General features: G+C 36.1%; 1 protein-coding gene across 13 annotated transcripts in view; it reads right to left on the bottom strand.

Annotated features, from left to right (window-relative positions):
- The window catches only part of SLC4A4 (solute carrier family 4 member 4), a 509,424-nt gene that overhangs the window by 108,281 nt on the left and 381,880 nt on the right, over positions 1-19,263 (bottom strand). For all 13 annotated transcript variants that reach the window (XM_024454268.2, NM_001440628.1, NM_001134742.2 and 10 more), the window contains 4 exons: positions 16,070-16,157; positions 13,260-13,414; positions 12,502-12,615; positions 10,134-10,308 (listed from right to left, as the gene is read on the bottom strand). In XM_024454268.2, coding sequence (XP_024310036.1) covers positions 10,134-10,308; positions 12,502-12,615; positions 13,260-13,414; positions 16,070-16,157 — 532 coding nt within the window. The remainder of the gene's footprint in view (positions 1-10,133; positions 10,309-12,501; positions 12,616-13,259; positions 13,415-16,069; positions 16,158-19,263) is intronic.

Below are 19,263 nucleotides of genomic sequence, written 5' to 3'. Positions count from 1 at the left end.
CATGCTATCCACCATCTCTACATGTGGTCTGTAGACACTCAGCAAATGTTAAAGGAACCAAGAAGCAAGACCCAAATGACACTCTAGGTTCCACTTATCAAAGGTCAACAGGCATTGTTGCTCATTCGGTAAAGATAACAACCAATTTCTTCCAGAAAACCACTTTGATTTATGGAAGCCATATGACTGTTAAAAGGCATATTTTTATTTCAGTACTTGATCCTTTGGTAAGTGCTACAGTTTTCATTCTGTTGCTGACAATCTTGAAACACAGACAGGTGATTTATTATACACACTGCACTGGAAACTTGCTTAAACTTAGAGATGTTTCCAGTATTTCTGAGAAAAGAACTATTTGACATCTTCCTCTTCACAATACAGAAATTTAAAAAATAACATGTAATGAATAACTGTAGTTTAACTGTAAAGTTTAAAGCAATTTATAAGGTGAACTATCAGAAACCTCTTTTCTGATTTATTATATTCAGTGTTCACTCATACAAAAAGGAAAACAATGTGTGGATATGTGTATTTTTAAAAGCCATAACTCATAAAGGCATTTCTACACCTGATTTCTCAGAGGAACATATTCCCTAGCAATTTATGAGGCTGCAGACAGCTAAGCTCTGAGGTGTGGAGCAATAGGATGCCACAAAGTGCTCTAGTCCATTTTGGTTGGGCTTTCATTTTATTCCACTTCTGATGTGACACCACTGTGGAACAGTAGAAAGAGCAAACAACTGGCAGTCAGAAATCTGGAGTCTGGGCTCCGTTCTGCCAAAGAGAGCTGATGGTCTTAGAAATGTCACTTCACCTCAGTAAATTTCAGTATTTTTATGGAGAGGAAAAATTGAGACACTGTAGTGGAGCACCGGACTCTGGAGTTAGACAATCCCAGATAGACATCTATACCATATTATTTCCTGGATCAATGACTTTAAGCAAGTTATTTAACCTACCTATGCTTCCTGGAGTTAGTATGCACATTAGATAGATAATGTATGTAAGGTGCTTAGCATAGTCTCTGACTGATAAAAACCTTTTCAATACATGGCAACCATATGTGTACTGTACTTATTTAAATATTAGATGACAGCCGGGCATAGCGGCTCACGCCTGTAATCCCAGCACTTTGGGAGGCTCAGGTGGACAGATCACCTGAGGTGAGGAGTTCGAGACCAGCCTGGCCAACATGGAGAAACTCTGTCTCTACTAAAAACACAAAAATTAGCCAGGCATGGTGGTGCACACCTGTAGTCCCAGCTACTCAGGAGGCTGAGGCAGGAGAATTGCTTGAACCCAGGAGGCAGAGGTTTCAGTGAGCTGAGATCACGCCACTCCACTCCAGCCTAGGCGACAGTTTCAAAAAAAAAAAAAAAAAAAAAAAGATGAGGAGGTTGGACTGGATAATCTCTAAGGTCTCTTCCAGGTGGCTCAGCACAAAGAGCATGTCTTGGAGTCAGGGACATCTGAATTTAAATCTCAGTTCTACCAGTGACCAACTGGGTAACCTTTCTAAATCCTACTTCTCTTCTGTAAAATCAATAGCTACTTCACGGGATAATTATTTGGATAAAATGAAAGAATAATATGTAAAGAGCTAAGAACAGAGTCTCATATAAAGCAGAGATACAATCTAATGTTGATTTCTTTTCCTTGGCTGCTTTTCACCACCTTCTTTTCAGCCTCTCTCTATTATTTCTCTTTCCTTTAAGAGACGAAGGAGAGAAAAAGAAATTCAAAAGAAATGATGTGAAAAGATAAAAATTAGTCTTCAGAAGAAACAGGTAAAAAAAAGCCTCTTTAGGTCTACAGTATTTCCCAGAGTAAATTTTAAATCAACAGAAAAGTCTTAGGCGGCAACACTACGGCCATTAAGAGACGCTTCTTTCCATTCCTTTGCATCACGTGCAAGTCAATGATAATAAACAAAATAGCTTGCTTTACTTTACAGCAGTGAAGTCAAAATCGATATCCAAAAACATTTGTGAATATTTTTCAGCTTGTATTAGGGTATACAATTAAACCAAGGATGGCCCGTGTTTGGCCCATGTTTTTTTAAAGTCAAGAAATTAGGACAAGTCCCAGAATAGTAAAACATATTTTTTACTAAAAGAAATCAGACCATAGGAGCAAGATTCTAAAAAAAATTAAAAGCCAACCACAATTTGTAATATCAGCATTTTATGTCTTTCAGCAACTTGGGGCAAGGGCTGCCAAGGCCACCAATACCTGTCATGGCTAAGGCAACGCAAGCACATTCAAGATGATGAAACATCAAATATTAAAAATCTATGCTGTCAACTTGGATTTATCGCAATTTGGTTTCTTCGTATAACACTAAAAAGTGACTTTTGTTGTTTTATGTCCTTTTTATTAAGGACTTTATTATTTGGATTAATAATTATAAACCTGTTTAGGGAGGCTGAGTGACAATAACAGAAGGGGAAAAAAGGCTAAGGAGAAAAGTGACAGAACAGCCTAGGAAAACAAAAAATTTTCTATTTTTTTTGACAATTTTCCACCCACTAAAGTATGGAAGATAAAGGTGGCATCAAATGATAAAGCATTTACCAACATTACTGTCGTGTTTCAGGCTTTAGAATTTTGTTTGTTTATAACAGCAAAAAGAAACACCAGTCTTTTTGGTGGTGTTCATAAGGAACTCTGCAGCATATTGAATAATAAATAATAAAATTAAATTTTGCTAGATAAGCCTTTGAAACTAAAGTTTAGTCAAGAATTATGAGGTAGCCCAATGTCACTGGAAATAAGCAGTCAGAGCAGAATTAACCTATATGAATTTTGATGTCAGGTCACCAGCATAAGACAAACCACACGATCAAAAATAAGTGGAGAAATGATTCAAGTATCTAAAGCAAATTTGGGTCACATGAGAGTCATCTCAGAAGATTTTTTAATAAAAAAAATACTGATTCTTTATTTCCACCCTAAACAATTAAATCAGAACCAATGAAGACAATGCCTAGGGATTCAGTATGTTTTTAAGTCCCCCAAGTGATTCCCATGTGCCCCAAATGTGAGATGTACCTCCCCTTCTCCTTCAGAATATCAGTAACGATTGGTCACACAGACCATTCATCTACATTGGGGAAGGAGACTGGATATACAACCCTCATTTTTTTATTTCCCCTGTGTAGCTACAGCCAATAAATCAGTGATTTCTGTCCTGACAGATCACAGCTGCCAAATCCTTATTGCCACCCGCTCTGCCTAAAGTACTTTGTCGTCATAAGCAAGGATTTCTGTTTACAATGCCCAGCAGGAAATGAAAAAGAGGCAAGACTTGAAAGACGAATTATCTCCCTGCTTGAAGAAAAGTTTGAGCCAAAAATCTTACCAAGAGTTCCAAGTCTAATAGGCTGGATGAGCAAGACATGGAGGGCTTTCTAATATTTTTTTTGTTTGAAGAGCTGTGAATACGTATCTGGATCATCGGAAACATTAGGCCAGTATAACCTTACACAAAAACCAATTCCAGATGGATAAAAAATTTAAACGAAAACAGAAAAGAACTAAAATATGTGGGTAAATATTTCCTTTATCTTGGGGTAGGGAAAACCTCTCTAAATATATCATGAAAAGAAGAAACTATTAAAAAATTGACGATTTTGGCTACACAAAAATTAAGATCTATACAGCAAAAGAAATCATAAATAAGGTTAAAAGACATATGGTAACCCTAAGAAAAATATGTTTTGTAATATTTCTCACAAGCAAAGAGAAAATATCCTTATTATACAAAGAGTTCTCATAAGGCAATGAAAAAAACCCTAATGCCCCAAAAGGAAAATATACCAATGATACAAGTATAAAGAAGTATAGACAATCAATAAAAATGTAAAAGGAGATTCACCCTCACTAAGTAATCAAAGAAATTAGAATTAAACAAAAATGAACCATTATTTTTCAACCCACAGAACGACAAAAAATGAGAATATGGGACAAAATTCTGTTTTTACAAGGGTATAAGCAAGTGGACATCCTTGTCCGTTATTGGTAGACATATGAACTGGTATAGCCTTGTGTAGTGTATTTGAAACAAATATCAAAAAATAAAATGAGCACATCCTGCTATCATTCTGCTAGAAATTTGCCCTAGGAAGGTAATCACAGATAATAAACATGTAGTTAATCACCTACATTTTTTTGTTTATAAAAAACTGGGAAAAACTAAAAGTCCACTAAGAGGGGCTCTGTTATAGTAATAGCACATGCATCATGTGCATAAATATATGTGGTCATTAAAAATGATGTTAAATATTCATACTGAAGTGGAAAGACATCCATGAAATACTAAAGTTATGTAACAGCATCCTTTATGTCAATCTATCTGTATACACATGAATTTTAAGATGTATGGGAAAGTGTTCATGACAATGTTAATAATGATCAATTCTGGTTGATGGGTTTAAGGGCAAAATTACCTTCTACGTAATTTTTTTGGATTTTTGGAATTTTCTACAATACATAATTATATCTTATTCTCAAAACAGTTGCAAGTCAAACACAAAATAAGAATTAGAATTTAGCATCAGTTGAGACTCCCCACATCCCTGCCTAAATCACTATCATTTTCTGATCATCAAGGAAATAGGGTGACAAAGGTCTTTCAAATAAAAAAACCCACCAAATACACATTACTTAACCTCAATCAAACAGGATTTAATTCACAACTTGCCCATGAAGCAAAGCACATTATTTAAAGCTTCTTTAAAGAAGAAATAGCTAATAAGTTTTAAAGGCAACCAGGTAATGCAGAATCCTTATTTTGTCACTAAATATGTCTATTTATTTTTACCTACCAAAATTGTGTCATTCCAACAGACAATCTCTACCTAACTTTGAAACTGGAATATGTTGATAGTGTAGATTAACGTCACCTTATATTTTCACTTCAAGGAGGAAATGCATTTTGGTGCCAAAGTACAACACTCAGCTAAATTGAAATTCTTGTACAATTCTCAATATAGTAAAGCAATTACCAATTTGCTTTAATCTTGCTGTTATAAATTACACATAATAGGCTTTGTAAAGATTTGTCTATCTTATCAAGGAACATCACATGTAAATAAGAAATGATATAGTTCCAACTTAAGCAGATTGATTAAATATTCTCAGCACAGCTTTATGTTAAAATAAAGTCTCAAATTTGGAGATGGCAACTATAAATGTTCCTTATTATGAGACAAGTTCCCTTAAAATGTGCTCTGTTAAGCTCCATAAATATCACAAAATTCACAGAATCTAAAAATCTTACTGTATTCTTTTGCTAAAAGGTTTGTGAAAATAGGATTATATTTACTCCTGGAAAAAAATTAAAATTACTTTCTTCACTCAGTCTTCACTCTAGACTGTGCTTATTCATTCACAATCAACAATGTAGATTTAAATTAAAATACTTTTCTGTATCTCATAACACTAAAAGGAACAATTTTTTAAATAATATAAGACTTTTCACAAGGTATCAAAAATTATTCCTTATATAAGTATCTTGCCCATAGACTAAGTAATCCATAAATATGTGTTGATTTAATTTGCATAGGTTCCATTCAGACAGTACTTTGAATGAACAACCAATAGTAGTAATAAATTCTACTGAAATATATTTATATGCTGACATTTAACAATTTAATTAGAAGTAGCTACATGAATTAAGCAGTATACTTGTTTGGCAACCAAGAATATAAATGAATTGGCCCATCCATATGAATGGGTTCCACATCAGTGGATTCAACCAACTGCAGATCAAAAATAGGAAAAAATAAAAATAAAACATAACAATATAACAATAAATGCTAATACAAAATTTAAAATATAGTATAACGTATTTCATAGTATTTGCATTGTATTAGGCATTATAAGTAACCTAGAGATAATTTAAAGTATATGGATGTGCAAAGGTACTACATAAATAGTACTCCATTTTGTAAAAGAGATTTGCACATCGATGAATTTTGGTATCCATGGGAGGAAAGGGGGTCCTGGAACCAATCCTCTGCTGATATCGAGGAATGACTGCAATAATGTAGTGAGTTGGCATGCATGGTTACAGAGAGTTTAGTTATGAAGGGGACACGTTATTTAGGATGGTAAGGATGAAAAGCCTTTGTTTACCTGACAATATGGCAAGGAGACCAGAGTATTAATGTGGAACTTACTATAAGAAAAGGAAAATAAGAATGTCACATAATTCTCAGACTTCGGAAAGCTTATGTTCTAGTCCTCCATTGCTGTACCATAAAAAAAGGAAACAGTCACAAGCCAGGGTTGCATCTCAGATGAATGTAATGTCAACTCTTGGCTGAGTGGTTCAGTTACTCAAAGAAGCCGTAGCTAAAGTTTACTGCTGACATTTAACAAGAAATTTGTGAATACCCATTCTGTAAGTCCCAGAGTTCTCTCAGAGCAGCCTAATGGGCAAAATGTGTACGCCAAGCTAGTGAATTCATGCAATCATCTATGTCAGCATTATAACTGTATGATTGTACTTAGAGTCACTGTAGCCTCAACTGTTCTATTTTGAACATAATTTCATGGGAAATAATCTACATAGCTCCCAAAATAATCTGCTTCTAATTATATATGTGTATATATATGCTCTAACATAAATGCTTCAAACAGGCAAGACCTTCTGAACAGAAGCTGGCAGAAGAGTTTGCTTAGACAACAGCCATGCAGTGACTCATCTGTGTTTTCACAACACGTTTCTACCCAGCACCCATGTCTATTTGTAGCCTGACAATAAAGGCCCTATGTGAACCATCTCTGAGCTGTCTGCCTTTAAAAGCAAGGACACTGTTCTCAGTTGACTCATTTGAGCTGCCTGTGCTTTTGTGAATAACCCACTGCCACATTTATGAAGGCATGTGACATAACTGCAGATTATTTCAGGCTCTGCCAATGCTTTTCTGCTTAGTCTTGGTCTACTGTTTAGAAAAGCAAGTGAAGCCAGAGGACTTCATCCCCTAAATAAGCCCACTACACCCCACTACTGGTATCTCTTGGGGGTGACTGAAAAAGACTGTTTTCATCAATACCCTACACTATAACTGGGATTCAAAATTGGAATTCCTGTCTATTTTGCTCATCTATCTTTATCTCCAGCACTTAAAACAGTGTCAAACACATAGTAGACACTCCATAAATATTTGCAAGGAATGAATCAACTTCTGCCATAGACCTGTAAAATGACCTGGGCCTTAGCACCAAATTTACAAAATATTTCCTTATCCTGGTCCCAGGTCAAGAAGACTTCTCCTGCCAGAAAATCAAAAATTTTGTGCGGTAAAGTACATACCCTTTCAATCAAGAGATTATCTTCCACCTTAAATTCCACATTAAATCACCTTACTCCCTAGTCCTTAAAATATATAAAACTATTAATATTTGTTAAGTTTTGGTTCAACAAATTTAAATTCATAGTCATTAATTTTCTATGCCTCTTTTTCAGTGTTTTTGCCACTTACTGTAATTTCTAGATGTATCAAAATTGTATTCTAGGAGAAAGATATTGCCAATATGTTTCTTAAAGGAAAAAAGCTTTGGAAGAGAGTGAAAAACATGTTCTTCAGTATTTTCAAACAATCCATCCACAGTTTCAGTGAAATTATCAATGGAGGTTAAAAAATCTATTAATAAAATAATCAAATTACATCTGGAAAATTTCCCCATAAATTTGAAAGTCAGCTCTTAGGAGTCACATCCAGCAAATGGTTATTTTAGTGGACTACTTAACATCCTGAAGCACTGAAAGTATTTACGTTCCTCTTGAAATCTTTAGAACACAGAAAATAGCTAATTCCACCAGCAAGGCCTTTCCCAGGTCATATATCACATAGGAGAAAAATACCAATTAACTATGTATGTTACATAATAGAGTGCTCTACTTTCCCAAAACCTACTCATAAAGAAGTTCATCCATCTAGGAGGGATCAAAACAGATCTGAACAGACTTCTTCTCTACAGTCAGATGCAGCATTGTAAAGCCAAGTCTTATGAGGTTGCAAAGAATTACAATTCAATTCAAAAAAGGCAATAAACTAATACACATAGGCAATATTGCAATGTCCCCATCTCAATGAGAATGTCCATCAAAAAAAGTTTAAAAATTATCTGCACAACACAAGAAAGTCTCTATACATTCTGACAGACGGAAGACAGTTTTGTTCTTACCGCCCTCTCAAAATCACAGCTTTCTTCTATTTTCTTAACATGTGGTTGCCTGTATTAACTTCTTCAAGCTGGCCGTAGGGTGTTTCCCCAGTGCCATCTTCTCCATTTTTTTTCTTGAACGATCTGTTTTAGTTATCCTTACGCTGTCATTTAGATGAAGAATAGCTGCCCAACTTGGATATAGATCAAATTTTATAAAAATTCTATTACTGACATCACTACTACAATTTAATGTATTCAGTTTTGTCTTACAAATGAGGGAAAAGGAGAAAAACATGCTCTGTCTATTTCATCTCTATGTCCTATTAGAGTTGGTTCTCATAACCCATGCTGCAGATCTCTCACTGGTAACACAGAGGTATGTGTTCTTTGACCAGCACGATATTATTTCCTAAAATGTTAATCAGTTGCCAATATTTAAAAATCACTGGTTTCACTAAGAATCAGAATTTTCAGCCTCTCTTTGAAGATCAGAAAATGAAGCAATACTGCGTACACATTTATGTGGGAAAAAGCAAAGCTGAGTGGCAACTGCCTCTTTCTGATGGAGCATGAGCTCTTAGACGTCATCACAGTCCCCCCACTGTGAGAAAGCCCAAGTTAGCTATGTGGAGAAGTCGTGTGGAGAGTATCCAGACCCCAAATATTCTGGACATCCTAGCTTAGGCACCAACACATGAGTAAAGAAGCTGCTGCGTGACCTCAACCTCTGCTGCCATCTGACTGCAAGTGAATGAGGGACCAAAGAGAGAACCACTCAGCTGAGCCAACCCACCATCCAGCCATGAAAGAGAGTAATAAAATGGTTGTTTCAAGCCTCTAAGTTTTGGGGTAACATGCTATGCAGTACTAGATAAGAACTAAAAGATAAAACTGCACTTGACAAACTAAAATACAATTGTATAATTTCTCCCTTTTTACTTAGGTCAACATAGATGTTATAATCTCCATAGTATTTTTGTATTTAGACAAAAATCTAAAATATGCATGTGCCCAGGAAAGAAAACCAAAGTAGAAAAACAGCAATCCTATGGAATCAGCTGCATTTAAAAAAAAAATAAGCTGGCTGGCATCACTTATGAATACCACATAGGTTATACAATAATATATAGTAAAGTGGAAGGAAAAGTGTGAAAAGGGCTTCAATCTGGTCCTTTTCATAGGAATATAACTTCATTCACTACTCGTATTCATCACCTAGCACAATAGCTTTTCTGAAAAGGATTGGACCAACTAAAAGTAATTTGGGACATATTTTTCTGGTTGGTGGAGGGAATCAGACACATCTTTTCTATCACCAAAACTTTATTATTGTTGCAAAAGGAAGATAATGCTATCTGAGAAGTAACCAACTAATTGTGGTTACAATTAATCATACAAAATAAGTCAAGCCAGAGTCGTTACAGCTTAATGAGAATCAGGTCCACCTGCAGGAGATATAACTGTTAGCTTATATTCATTAAAACCAAATTATACTGGTAAACATGCAAACCCAACTTTGAGCAAATCGCTCAATGGTTGGAAGCTATTTGCTCATGTGTAAAATTAAGCTAATCATACATTCCCAAAGAAAGTGTAATCATCAAGTTTAACAGAATATGTTCCACATAGTCAAACTAGTAGAAGATCTAAACCTTGTGCACTGTACAAAATTAAAGCAGCTGATATGCTTTTGCCCAAATAGAATTGTATATCCTCATTTCCTTCCCTTCCTTTCCCTACTTGTGACTCAAGCCAGATTTCATCGAGCTATTTTTATAATTACTAAAATGCTGGAAATACAGCAGCAGGCCAGAAGCAAAGTAAAATGCAGCATCCAGCAAAAGAAAGAAAATCACGCTGAGTAACTGAAAGGCCATCTGCTTCTAACTGAGCTGTAGGGGTGAGGAAGGCAATCTGGGCTGTACTATTTGTGTCCTCCTCAAAACCATACCCACCTGCATGTTGTCAGTGGCATCCCCAAGCAGTCCTCCAAAAGTGATAGCATTAGTTACAGTTGCCAGATAAATGAAGAGAATTGCCGAAAGAGCTTGAATATTTAAAGCATCATAAAAATCACTGGCAAAAAATGGCGCTTTCCTCTTTATGTCTTTAATTAGTCCACCACAGAACCTGGGCAGAGAGAATGCAAACATCCACTAAATGTAAAGTAAATTACCATCAAATTAATCAAGAGGTAACTCATTAAATCAAACACAACATATTTAAAATGCTTGAATCAGTGACAAGATACTACTTAACCACTTACGATGAAACCAGAAAACTATAAAGGAATAAATTTTCTTCTATCTCTTTCTTTTTGGGTCACCAAATTAGGTGTCACATTTCCTGAAGATCAGCCAGTTGGTCTTTAGAAAAGAGTGAACTGTGTAAATACATTAAAATGTTTCATTGCCTAGAGAAAAACGTCCTAATATGCAAGCAGATCATATAAAGGCCCTTCATCATCTCGCCATAGTACCCTTTCCACCCTCATTCATTCATCCATTCACTCACTCATTTATTCATCATTCATTCTTTCATCTTCAATAAATGCTACTGAGCACCTGCGATATGCCCACACTCTGGCACTCTTCTGAGTGCTGAGGACATAACAGTGAACAACATGCATCAAAAAACCTCTGCTTTCATGGAGTTTACTCTGGGGATGAAAAGGAGGCAGACAATAAATGAATAAATGCAACACATAGTGATAAAAATCAAAAGAAAAATTAAATGGGAAAGAGCATTATGTAGTACTGGAAAAAAGGTGGTTGAAATTTTAGATAGAGTGGCCAGAAAAGGTCTCCAAGAAGGTGACTTTAGGGTAAGGACCTGAAGGAACTAAGGGAGGAAGCCATGGAGGTGTGTGATGGGAGGAAATGCAGCTGAGTCCCATGACAAATGTCAGCAGGTCAGTTGAGTGACTTGCACGTCAGTCTACTCACCCTCCCAACCAAGCCTCAAACCTCAGTCTTCCCCAGGGCTTCTGCCTAGAATGCCCTATTCTGAAGCTCAACAGCTCTCCGAAGTCTTGACCTTGCACTTACAGTTCATATTTCCACTCTTGGCTATTACATTTTATTAGGATCGTCCATCTATCTGTCTGCACAACCACTGGACCTTAGCCGCACTCAGTGCCCTGCTTCAGTTTTCTTAGTATTCACAGGGCTATGCATGGTACCAGGCATACTACAGACATTCAATTAGTTTAGCAAAGGTGAAATATAAAAGAATGAAATATATTCTGATTAAATTAAAAATTAAAGCCCAGAACTCATGTCTGTAAAAAAAGAAAAGGATATTCCTAATGGAAATAATTTACAAAAAACTATTCAAAAAAAGGTTAGGGGAGGAGAGGAGAGAAGATTTTATGTTCTCTATCCTTTCAGAATAAAGGACAGAGGAATAATATCCTGTTAATTTGAGAGAGAAATCCAAGTGGGTCATCAGGAGAATGAAATAACTTCATTTCATTCACATTCAATTGCATATTATAATGACATACCTTTTCATGTTAAAAAAAAACCCTGCAGTGTTTTTAAAAAGCCATATCTTCATAAAATAAGTATCCCACTTAAAATTTTACTTAACACCCAATAAAAGGAACAATCTAATGGTAGGGAAGGAAGAGTTATCATGGAAAGAAATTAGCTGAAGCAATTTAGGAAACCTGAATTCCCAATTGCAGGCTAAGGAGGCAGAACAGTGAGAACTCATTCCTATATCATGCTACTCACTGTTGAATACACATACAGGTGAGAAATGGAATTATGAAAGCCAAGAGGTGAAGGCTGGTACATCTGTCAGTCCTCTGCCATCTCTCTGACCCTAACACACCCTCAGTCATTCCCCTCTAGTCTTGCTGGCTTTGATGCCAGCCCTGTCACACACCAGGCACTCTGTTGCAGCCCACCCCCACACACCCACCACACCCACCTGGTCTGTCTCCCACCTCCTGTAGCACTTTCTTCAAATGTTGCCATTCTTTGTAAGGCCTTCTCTGACCACTCTTATCTAAAATTGGAATACAATACTCCCATCCTCAAAGTCCCTACTTCTGCCTTAATTTTCCCCATAAAACCATCACCACATTTACTTATTCACTTACTGTTTATGTCTTGTCACTACAATATAAGATCCTTATGGGAATACAGTATCATTTAATTCACTGCTATATTCCCAGTGCCTGTGACAAATAGGTATACCATAAATATTTGTTGGCTGAACAGATGAACAAACTAGTGAATAATATGTTGATAGATGAAGGGAAATTTACATTTAAGGAGAACCTCATCATGAATGGCAAAGGAAACTGTCAGTTACCGTCCAGTTCGCTGCAATTCTTCACAATCCCCATGTCCTCCTCCTCCGTGACCTCCATCATGGGGCGTATCCCCATTCATCTGAACATTCTCTCCACCTGAGTACATATTCTTTCTAAGCAAGACAACAGAGCCCAAGAGTATATTAGTTTATTTTATTCATTCGCTTCTTAGCTGTATCATGCTCTGGCTAATGGGGAGATGGAGTGAAAACCCTTAAGGTGAAAGATTGTTATTTCTTTCTGCTATCTAACAGACAGTTCTTTAAGTGTTACATTTAGAACCAATACAAATGACTGGATGAATAGGAAAGTTGAATGAACTGTATGTCTTAAAAGAGGGAAACTGCTTCAACTGGGAAAAAATAGATTTCTAGAAAATTGTTTCTCTTCAACTATTTTACCCAATGTCTTAACCATGTACATCTACAAGGACTCATCTTCAGTAAATTTATGTTTCCAGATATACAGGGGGTCCCCAAAACATCGCCAAAGCATGTCTGTGATACATTCCCATGTAGTAATCTGAGATCTCCAATTTATAATAACTGAAGAACATCATACCACATAACATTTATTTTACAATGCCAAGGAAACGTGAAACCAAGGCACATAAGTGATCCATTTGAGAAAATACATCAAGTTAAACAGGAACCTGAAAATATTAGAACAACAGGTTGACTTCACTTTTTTTTTTTAACACAACCTCCTTCTCAGAGTCATCTCAGCTACTGAAAATTATCAACTGCCTATAATTTACCTTTTGTCAGAGGATGGAAGACTCTTAGGAGGCTCTATCCTAATTGCTGGATCCCATTCCCCAGGTGGAAGGACGATGACTTCATCTAGGAACTCATCAATACCAGCAATCAGGTCGTGCCTGTCTTTTGCTTTATAAGCAATGTCATGGAACACCTAAAGAATAATAAAAGATGTGCTCATCCAAAAAGATAACTCTGTACATGCTTCACACCATATCAAGCCTGAAGAATGCAGCCCATAACAACTGTGCTATTAATATTAATCCAGCCATGCTCTGATAGTCCCTATTATTCAGCCTGCCCCCCGAAAATATAGGCATTCAGATTATGATTTCAAAGAATAGAGGCAGAGGCCTGAAGAAACAGCTATGTTTTTATGTGGTTTTTTTTCCTACCAATAATATAAAACAACATTGCCTTTCAGCTCCCACTGGTATGTACCACTACTGATACAGTTGCTATGGGAGCCAGATTAAAATGGTTTGGAGAAATATACTGAAGAGTCATTCCCTGAAATAAAAACTACTGGGATAAAAATTGCTGATAACTCAAGAAGGAAAAGTTCAAGCTGAGTGTTAAGATCGGGTTAAGACCCAAACACTGAGCTCTCAAACACACAATGTGAGATATTTAAAAAAGAAAAATCTGGGTTATATCGGCAGCACATTAACCAAAAGGCCTTAAATAGTCAATCATCTGTCTATCTTTTAGCAAGACAACAACTAAACCATCTAATGCAGCAAGTGCTTCATATCTTTTATGCAGATCTCCAAAGAAAGAGGTTCCAAAATGTACACAATCTTTCTGTCAATCATTCCATTTTTCTAACAGAGCTGATGATCTGAAATTTCTTTACATATAACCTAAGTCTTTCATACTTCATAAGTCAAATTCTTTAGTCTTCAGAAGAGAAGATGGTCCCTGTTCAATACCCTTACCTATTCTTAAAGATTGTGACTAAACCACTTCTCTAGGAAAAGAATTTTTAAAAGCTATCAATTAAGTAACATTTAACAGTCTGGGGGTTGTGGGGTTGAGGGGAGGGTGACACAAAATGCCAGCACATAATCTGTGGCTGATATAGCCATCCTCAACCTTATTTTCTTTCTCTTGCTGTTTCTCATGATAGAGGCTGGAAAGTCACAGATTCACTTTCCCAGCCAACTGTGCAGATAAAGATGAACAATTCCAACTAATAAGATATAAGAAAAAGGCTGTCTGGGAAAGCTCTAGAATACCTGTTTAAAAAGGGAGATACAGCTAGCATTACCACACTGTTCTTCCTACTTTGAATAAATACAGATAAGATGACTGGAGCTGATGGTAGGCAATGTCGTTTTACCATACTGACAGGAAAAGAAAACATGCTATTTTAAGATCATAAATTTAGCAAGAGCCTTAGCTCTTGATTTATCATTAAGCCGTTATGTTAAAATAACCCCAGCAACTACCTACCTCCAAACTTCCAAATAAATCCCAAATTGTTTAAGCCACTCTAAATCTCACTTGTTAAAGTATTCTTAATTGATACATCTTAGGAGAAAGTATTTTTTAAAACAGATCTAAATTACAAAAATGCAAAAAATAAAATGAATGCACTGAGATGAATAAAATAAATGTTCCCTTGAAGGGAAAAAGCAGCATAGCCATAAAGCTTTCAGTCACAGAATAAAATAGCTACCTGAGTAATCACCACATGGAACATCTATAACTAAGGAGAAAGGTACCCCTTTCTCCACTTAACACACAGAAAAACCGACAAATCAAGCAATGAAGCAAAAGCAATACATTTGGGGAAATAGTAAGCCCAGAAAGACCCAGGAGCAGAAACTAATGATCCTGTATTCTAACAGTATTTCTCCTCCTATGGGAATAGTTCAGAATTTTCTCATATCTAAAATGCATGTAACATCCAGGCTGTTATGAAAATAAATGGGGTCATAATTCCAACCTGTACAGATACTTTGCCATAATGGTTGCTAATGCATTTTTAGATGTGTATCATTCCTTCCCACGAAATAAGAAAACCATAAAACATGTACTTTCTGATACCTAAGAAAAAATGCATTATCCATTTTATTAGACATTATTTTATAGAACCCATCATTTCTGAAATAATATAGAATATAGACATTTGAATTCCCAGAATTAGTGTATTAAAACTTCAAGAGATAAAGTTTAAGTTAATACAATGACCTTGAACCTTTTTTTTTTTTTTTTTTTGAGATGGAATCTCGCTCTGTTGCCCAGGCTGGAGTGCAGTGGCGTGATCTCAGCTCACTGCAACCTCTGCATCTCAGGTTCTAGTGATTCTCCTGCCTCAGCCTTCTGAGTAGCTGGGATTACAGGCATGCACCACCATGCCTGGCTAATTTTTTTATTTTTAGTAGAAACGGGTTTTCACCATGTTGGTCAGGCTGGTCTCGAACTCCTGACCTCAGGTGATCTGCCCACCTCGACCTCTCAAAGTGCTGGGATTACAGGCGTGAGCCACCATGCCCAGCTGACTTTGAACTTTTTAAAGAATATTTGACATATATCAGTTTTAAGAAATGAAAATGTTTGGTAAAAGAAAGGAAAATATGTTTTATTCCAACAGAGTTTAGAATCCCATAGAAAACCAAAATGCATGCCTTACTTTTTGCAAACCATATAGGATTCAGCTCATTTGTCTCAAATGACCGTACCTCATGCTATAAGGAAGTCTAGTAACCACATAATTCTAATTGAATAAATTGTGACAGCCAATTCACAGTATGACAACAAACAAGTAGGACATTCACAGAACTCCATCTTCCTGATTTCCTACCTCATCAGACATCAGGGTGGCAATGGCTCTGCCAATCTCGTGGTAGGACTTGGCTTTCCCCTTAGGACCTAAGAGAATGAACAAGAACCTAATGGAAAAGGAAAGAAGCAAAGGCTATAACACACATTTCATCAAACTCAACATACATAAAACTGAGAAATGTTTAACTTAGTTCATAAAAAGGTTAGGTCTAGAATTCACCTTTAAAACAAAGGTAATATATTATTGGTAGTACAGAATATACTCTTTCGCACTATTGCAAAACACAGTTCATTGTTCAGTTTATTTGGAGGCAAATGAGAATATAGCATAGAAACCTGAGAAGCTTCTTCACTGAGCAGGAAAGGTGCACTTCAAGTGCTTAATATGAGTCATTCAATCTTTCTATTTTAAACTTTTTTTCTCTCTCCATTTCTACTGATTTTCAGAATCTTTGGAGCAAACCCATCAAGCACAATAACTAGAAAGAGTTAGTGCATCTTCACATTTCTCTGACTTTTCCTTACCCAATATGGGCAGTGACAGATGATCGTCTCCACACTTTTAAGAAATATGTCTACTCAGAAGTGACTGGGAATCAGCAAAAACCAAGTCCTCTACAAGTAAGCCACATGGTGACAGCCAAAGTAAGGGAAGAGAAATATGAGAGAAATTCAAAATAAAGCATCATTCACAGACAGTCAAAATTATTTTGTGGGTGTCCTCTTGTCATTTACCAACATTTTTTCTTCATAATGCACAAAACATTGCTTCATAGCAAACAGGTCCTGAAACATACAATAACAAACTTAACCCCACTTAGGTTCACCTCTAACCAAGTTGGAAAAAATCCCTCACTTATCACACAGGGCCTTTGCCCTGTGGCATGTTGGCACTGTGGATGCGGGGATCTGATGAGTAAATGAGTAAGAAAAAATTTACAAAAAAATCTACAAAAGGTGACGTGGGATAAATCCCACCTTGATATTGATCATGTATCACCTAACGGGGAGATAATGAGGACAATAAAAATGATAACATCATATGCCTGCCCAGCTTATAAGGCCTCCAAAGCACTTCACATTCATCACTTTATTTACATTTCCATATGACCCTCTGCAGTAAAGAAAGTATCCTATTCCCATTTAATGGTGAGGAAAATGAGGCTGGTGGAGGTTAATGGAAGAGCCCAAGATCTGTGCCTAGTAAATGACAAAGAGTAGATATATAGGCATTCTTACCTCCTGTTCTTTTCACCACATATTTCTGCCTAATACTACCTGCCCAACTGATATACCAAGGTTGTGATTTAACAGAAGTCCAAAAATGACTTCCATAAGTCTTCCATAGGTCACTCTGGGTCACTTCTGGATGCTTAGCCAGGGACAAGAAATCTTAGGTAAGATTTTTATGGTACCAGAAACAGCTTGCCATTTTGCTCAGCAGAATTTTATTTTTAACTTACTTATTTATATCCCTCACTTCAAATAAAAAAGGATTGACAGCAAATACTTTAAAAAATGTTTGGGTCTGTTCCAAAATGCCCTTGAATGTATAATTACTTTTTTTTTATCATAAAATTCAACCCAAAAGGGATTCTAAAATCCCAGAAATGAAGAATGTAAAAAGGTGTCTGAAAGTTTGAATACTCAGGTTTTATACCAGAATAACCATAAAACCACTTAGTACTTATTTGCTTAGAAACCAGCTCTGAAGTGAAGCAGCACACTCACTTTCAAGTGTTACCAAAGTAGATAGCAATCAGCAGGCACCAAAGTCTGTTCAAGTATGAAGGAAGTCATTATTTGAATTGAATTTCAGCTCTTTTAACACTGAAGTTCAATTGACACTAGAACTTTTGTCCCTTCGAAGCTGGCCCCTAATTATATGCCACTACGTATAGTATTATAAAGTGCTTCTTTAGGACTGTAAAGTGTATTTTTCTAAAGGGACTGATCACTGATTTGAGTGCAACATGCACAAAATATATTTAATGATTAAAGCAAAATAATGCTTTAATCCCATTGAGAAACATAAGTACTGGTCACATTTCTCAATTTCGTTTGCCTGACTACAGATGGTCATGTTTCAATTCAATAAGGGTGTGGGTTTAGGTGAAAAGGGGCAGATGCTGTGCCACAAGAGAAAATATCTAACACCTGGATCCTTAGTACATTTTTAAATAATAGATTTCTTCTGCTTCCATTTTTATTATCTTCATGTATCTAAATATTAACTTTTCAGTAATGCATAATATCCAAAACTTTTCCAAACACTCTGTATCTCTTCCTACCTCTCCCTAGCACCTCCATCATGATTATAGCTTACAAATACATATTATGGAAATGTATTTATCAACTGACACTGATAATGAGTTAATTATCAGGTTGACTATATAGCAACAAAGCCAAAACATTGTCTAGTTAGTGAAAAAACATTCTCAGTCATTAATAGTCCTCAAACATAAACTTTGGCAGGCAGTGGGTATTCCAATAGCTGATAGAGTAATGGAGCCTCCAAGTTACATCCTATGAGACGAGGACAGACATTTTCTATAAAATATTTACTCTTTGTTCTCTGCTAAATAGAACCAGTCAAAGAATGAAAGGAAGCAGCAGATCAATGGTGTCTACACGATAGCAATAAACACAATATATGAGAATTATATTGGTTCAGTAACACAGATATAAAAGTAGTATTCCTCTTTCCTGGGTAATGCAATTTTTATTTTTTAAAGAAGGTATTTCTTCATTAATGGAATAACACCAAGGGCCAAACCAACATGGTGGACATACCAGTTAAAATTTTCACATTACTCCAATCAGGAATAATTCAGTAAATCTGCCTCCTTAAAATGATAAATAGAGAGAATCCAAGCATTCATAAGCAGCAGGAAACATAACCTCAAGCCAAAAATGTCATCTGGAGGAATGGACACCTTTAAGAAGCTTCTAATCTGGACTGCATTATTGAAATGGGATGAGAAATCCGAGAAAACTGAACACAAAACAATCCAACAAGTTGAAGTTCCCTCTGCCTGAAATATGTTTTCTCTCCTTTAACCTTCAAAGAAGCGAAAGCTGTTACAACTTTTATGATTGAAGTACATCCTGCCAAACTCAGCTTTTATAATGTACTGAAAACTCCTTTCATGACCCAAGCTGTTTTTTGTCAATGGACAGATGTTATTTTTATCCAGAAGCTTTTTTCTCTAT

The sequence above is a fragment of the Homo sapiens genome, chromosome 4, assembly GCF_000001405.40.
Source record: "Homo sapiens chromosome 4, GRCh38.p14 Primary Assembly".
Lineage (NCBI taxonomy): Eukaryota > Metazoa > Chordata > Mammalia > Primates > Hominidae > Homo > Homo sapiens.
The sequence above is the reverse complement of the archived record's forward strand: the minus strand, read 5'-3'. Positions and strand labels throughout refer to the sequence as shown.